The 5,430-nt window shown below is 45.1% G+C and overlaps 1 annotated feature.

The window, feature by feature from the left end:
• Positions 2,513-3,071: an enhancer, noted in NCBI's record as "NANOG hESC enhancer chrX:24428490-24429048 (GRCh37/hg19 assembly coordinates)". NCBI's record gives its function as "activates a minimal SCP1, AML or CMV promoter by ChIP-STARR-seq in naive H9 embryonic stem cells {active_cell/tissue: H9 hESC(naive)}" and the evidence as "EXISTENCE:reporter gene assay evidence [ECO:0000049][PMID:30033119]".

Consider the following 5,430-nt stretch of genomic DNA (forward strand, 5'->3'; position numbering starts at 1 on the left):
ACTGATTTGAGTTTGGAGCTGGTTTTGACCACCCCCACACAGAGGCTGCCCTGATGGGCTACTCTCTGAGGGAAATAGACTCAAGACTGGAACCCAAACTGCCCAAGGAAAGAGCAAAGGATTACAAATCACCTTGAGCCGATCCAAAGGCAAATTAGGAGGATCCCTTCCAGAGAGGACACAGCTACACAGCCTGTTCATTTTCTCTCTATTTCTTCATGTAGTCACAGAAACAATCACTTACATAATTTAAAACATAAGTACCACGTTCATCTGTTCATCTTACTATGGAAACATGAAATCTAACACCACTTCCCACCTTGGAAAGAGAAAAAGAATTGGACTCCAAACTTCAGACTTCCAAATCAGATATCTGTGCCCTATAGTGTGTCCGTGGAAATCGACTTTGGGTTAAGAGTAGTCTGGTTATCCATCCGTGGTGTTTGCGGAGGTTTCACAAATGCATACACATCCCTTATCAAGGACTTGCTGGCCAGTCAAATAGTAGACCTTTGTGGGTGAGTCCCTGGTACCTGGCAACAAACTACTCCAATAAGTGATGACATTTTCTGCTGACATTTGACCAAACAGCCCTTATTTCCACTGGGATCAGAGATGACTGCCTTTCGTTTGCTTCCCCAAAGTACAGAGAATGAATTATATTTGAGTGGCGGTCATTGAGGTACACTGCCTAGATATCACTCCAAGAAAGGACTTCTCATTCAGCTGTAAAGAGCGCAGTTAGCTGTTAGCCCCTTCAGCCAGCAACTGGGTGTGGTGCGTGGTGCTGGTGGGGGCCACTAGGGCATGGATATTTCTGCCCAACACAAAACTCCTCTCATGGGTTGGCCAAGACTTTGCCAGAGCTACATGGTGCTCCAAAGCTTTCCGTGCCCAATTATGCTTTCCATGCTTTGCATGCACGTTCATTTTGCAAATGTCAGAGCTGCATCATGGTCTGAAGATTTTTCCTGCCCAGTCTGGCTTCTTTCCCTTTTATTTTTCACTCTCCCCGCTCCCCAAATCAATCTCTCACACTCCTAACTCTGACTCATCCTTGGCTTTCTCAAGATCCTCACTGACATAATTAATATTATCCATTTTCTGCTCATTTCCAGAAAAAAAATGAAATTGTTTTTTCCCTTTCCCTCACATCATGATAGAAAACTAATTTTTTTTTTTTTTTTTTTTTTTGAGATGAAGTTTTACTGTGTTGCCCAGGCTGGAGTGCAATGGTGCGATCTTGGCTCACTGCAACATCTGCCTCCCAGGTTCAAGCGATTCTCCTGCCTCAGCCTCCCGAGTAGCTGGGATTACAGGAGCCCGCCACCACGCTCGGCTGATTTTGTATTTTTAGTAGAGATTGGGTTTCACCATATTGGCCAGGATGGTCTCAAACTCCTGACCTGAAGAGATCTGCCCGCCTTGGCCTGCCAAAGTGCTGAGATTACAGGTGTGAGTCACCGCACCCGGCCAGAAAACTAATTTTTTTTTTATTCCTTAAAGCCTCACTATTCCTTTGTGTTACTTCTTTTCTCTGTATCTCAAGTTCTATAAAGTGGTGCCCAAATGCCCGCCTTGGGTTTTGTTATGAAGTATTATGTGATACTGCTTTGACAAGGTCGAACACCAAAAATGAGTTGTTGCTTAGGAAGCAGGTGTGTTCAGTCAGTTAAGATGGCCCAGCTGGGCCATTATCCACCCTTAGAGTCACAGAATTTTACAGAGAGATCTGAGCATCTTTCTTCGTGGTTTTTATTAGGTTAGTGCAAAAGTCACTGCGGTTTTTGCCATTATGGCACTTTCTTTGGGTCTCAGAGCCCATAATGAAAGCCACTGACCCTCTTCAGTCAAGCTTCAGTACAGTCAGCTTCAGAGCATCATCCATGGACCCTAGATGAGCACTCTGCATTTTGAAGAAGAGAAACAGAGACATAAAAAGATGAGATGACCTGGCCGGGCGTGGTGGCTCATGCCTGTAATCCCAGCACTTTGGGAGGCCAAGGCAGGCAGATCACCTGAGGTAGGGAGTTCAAGACCAGCCTGACCAGCATGGAGAAACCCTGTCTCTACTAAAAATACAAAATTAGCCGGGTGTTGTGGCACATGCCTATAATCCCAGCTACTCGGGAGGCTGAGGCAGGAGAATCGCTTTAACCCGGGAGGCAGAGGTTGCGGTTAGCCGAGATCACGCCATTGCACTCCAGCCTGGACAACAAGAGCGAAACTCCATCTCAAAAAAAAAAAAAAAACAAAAAACAAGAGATGACTTGTGCGAGGTCTTCCCTGTATAAAGGGGTGGGATGGGGAGGCAGTGAGTCTGCTCCAGTCTGTCCAGCAGGGTTAAATTTAAATGACCTTGCACAACTCTGGGACTTTGGGCACAACCTTTCTGGCTTCAGTAGCCTCACCTCTAAAATCTCTGAGGATTTGAGCTTGACCCTAATAATGTTAAACTACACTTTTCTGAGTGATAAGTGCTTCATGTGCATGATCTCACAACCACAGTATGAAGCAGATACTTTCATTAGTTTTATTTTATTGATGAGGAAACTGAGCCTAATGGAGTTCAGAAACTTGCCGAAGCAGGTAAAAATCAGAGCTTCCATTTGAGAGGAGCACTAGGTAATTCCAGGGCACTTGCTCTTAAACCCTGCCTCTCCATCTTTACAGAAAATTCCAGCTTTAATACTTTATCATTCTGTGATTCAACCTTGATACTTTAGTGGGAATTGAGTGCCTGTTTGTTCCTGTAAGACCTATAATTGCCCACTGAACTGCACTCTTTCTGGTGTTGGCCCAGTGTGGTGTAATGACACTTGTCTCCATTTAACAGGGAAGAGTGTGAAGATTAACGAGGTGATGATTGGTGTTTTAAATCTGTTTAACAAAAGCTTGGTCTTGTGGGCTTCCATATGGGAAAAGAACGATTTTTAATAGGAGTGAGAAACTGATGGGCACCCAATAGCAAGAAGCATTTTGTTTTTAGATGTCAGTCTCCTAAACCAAGAGCTATCATTTTGTTTAATGATTTCCAACCTGAATAAGTAGTATAACAAGTGAGCCTCAAAATCAGTCAACCAAAAGGCAAACATTTTTGTAACCAGGAGAGAGAGGAGCTTTACAGCCTTTAAGCAATATAATCGAAGAGCACTCCCTGCTATTTTACCAACTGCCAGCATAAAATATGTGGGTTTTAATCATTATATGCGACAGTTCAAACAGCCGGCCGATCAATCTAGTTTATTCCCAGGAAAAAAAAAATAAGCTTAGAACCATGTGGTGTGTTTATTTTATTTATATGTTTCCAAATCAACTGCAAGGAATTAAGAATTCAAACACCATAAACATCGCAGTCAAGTAACACCCTCTCCTAAAAATGATGTGCTGAGCCCACTGGAAGATACAAACAGGGCCCGTGGAAAAGAAGTCAAGTGCAGGGGTTTGGCCTCCAGCAGTTCTCATGCACAGAGGAGCCAACAACACAATCCTTGAGCTAGACCCTGGTCTATTAACACCAACCCCATTCCTCCCTGGAGCATCCATTGCTTAGACGTTTTGACACTCCCTATTCCCCCATCTCCATCGGGTCTCTCCTGCTTTCTCTTTCAGGGCACCTTGAACTTTCCCACAGAACATAAATAAAATGCACGCTACCCAGCTAGATTTTGGTGTTAGAAATCTGTGCTGCAGGAGTCTGCATGGCTTTTTGAAATGATCTGAGAAAGTTCCAAACATGTTCCCAGTGGCACTTCTTATCAACACTGCACTTTATGGCATCAGGAAAGCCTTTAGCATGACTGGGAAGTTTGTAAAGTTTGTCTTCCCAAGACCATAGGTATAGGATGTCATGGCAAAAAAAAGTGGGATTTTCAGTCAGACAGGTCTCAGCTCAAATCCTAGTCCCATTATTTATTATTTATTTACTGGCCATGTGGTTTTAGGCTATCGCAGTGGCCATGAAAGTGGGCCACTCAGACCCCCTGCTTTGGAAGCATAGTTGATGGCCCAGCTCTTGCCTCTCCAGACCCTGACCATCCAGATCATTGCATTTGAACCCAGGCCATGCTCCCCGGCCAATGACTAAGCACAGTCACTTGCACAGGCTATTTCTGGGAGATGTGGGATTCTTCCAACAGGCCACTTTGGCTCAAGACCTGGCTGAGACTTTCCTAGGGCTGGCTGCGACCCCAGACACTTCCTTCAGTTCTGCTTCCTTCCTTCTCTCCTCCACAGGGGTCAGACTGGCATCTGACATCAGATGGCATCACCATCTGAAAATCCCCCTTCTTCATTCCCCTGCTCTTTCTCCTTGAGCTTCACAGACATTTCTCCCACCAACATCTCTCACATATCTAATCCTGTCTTGGCCTCTGCTTCCCAGAGGACCTGATGAATTAACACAGCTACTCACCTAGCCTTTCTATGACTCAGTTTCCTAACCTGTTAAACAGAGAGACTATAACCTACCTTGTCTTGTGATTATGTGACCTAAATACAGATGGAGGAGGGTGGCAGCATCATTCCATATACTACCTGCTAGTTGAGATTATTTTGTTATTCTTTGGATCAAAAAGAAATACAACAGAAGCTATTATCTTTTCTTACCCTGCTCCAGTGAGACACCTTGACCCCCTCCTTGAGTTATGCACCCCCTACTTTGAAGGCCACTAGTTTGCTTGCATTCAGTCCCCATTTCTCCACTTATCCTTCAAGAGCCTCTCTGCCCTGCACCCACCTCCCTGTACCTGCCCAATCTCTCCAAGGCACTCTGCTGCAGTCAGCCCAGCCTCTTACCTCCCCTAGCCCCTTGTTCCTGGTCCTAATGTGTGCCCTCCTGCCTCCTGTCATCCACGTTTTGTTCGTGCTTCCTTCCCCAAGGGCCTTCTCCAAGCCTTTTCAGCCTAGAATGATCTCACTCTGCTCTAAATGCCTGGAACACATCTAACCCTCACCACGCTTAAGAAAACAAAAACAAAGAAACCTCACCACCTACTTATTTGTCTCTACAGCTGAGCTGTAGAAGCTGCCCACAGGCCAAAGCTACTTGAGTGCAGAGAAGACAGAGAGCTAATTGGAGTTGACATGGTTTTTATTAGGTGGCACCAGGTTCTACATCCCAAGACCAGCCCATGGGCTTGAGGAGCCTCCTGGACTCTTAGCACAGACACTGCTCTTTGACTCTCTCAGCATCTGTCTTCTCCTGGTGACTGGCTGGGGAGTGAAAACCTTAATTGGTCTATTGCACAGAGGCAGTAAGGAAGGAAGCCATGGGGAATCACTCTAACTTCTAGCTGAGAGGACAAAACTGTGCCACGCTTAGGGTGAGTTAGCCCACATTTTGCATGTATTGCAGTTTCTGTTCTGACTTCCCAGGCTGAGTCAACACATTCATAATAACACACTTTTTTTTAAAAGAAGTCCAATTAA

The sequence above is a fragment of the Homo sapiens genome, chromosome X, assembly GCF_000001405.40.
Source record: "Homo sapiens chromosome X, GRCh38.p14 Primary Assembly".
NCBI lineage: Eukaryota > Metazoa > Chordata > Mammalia > Primates > Hominidae > Homo > Homo sapiens.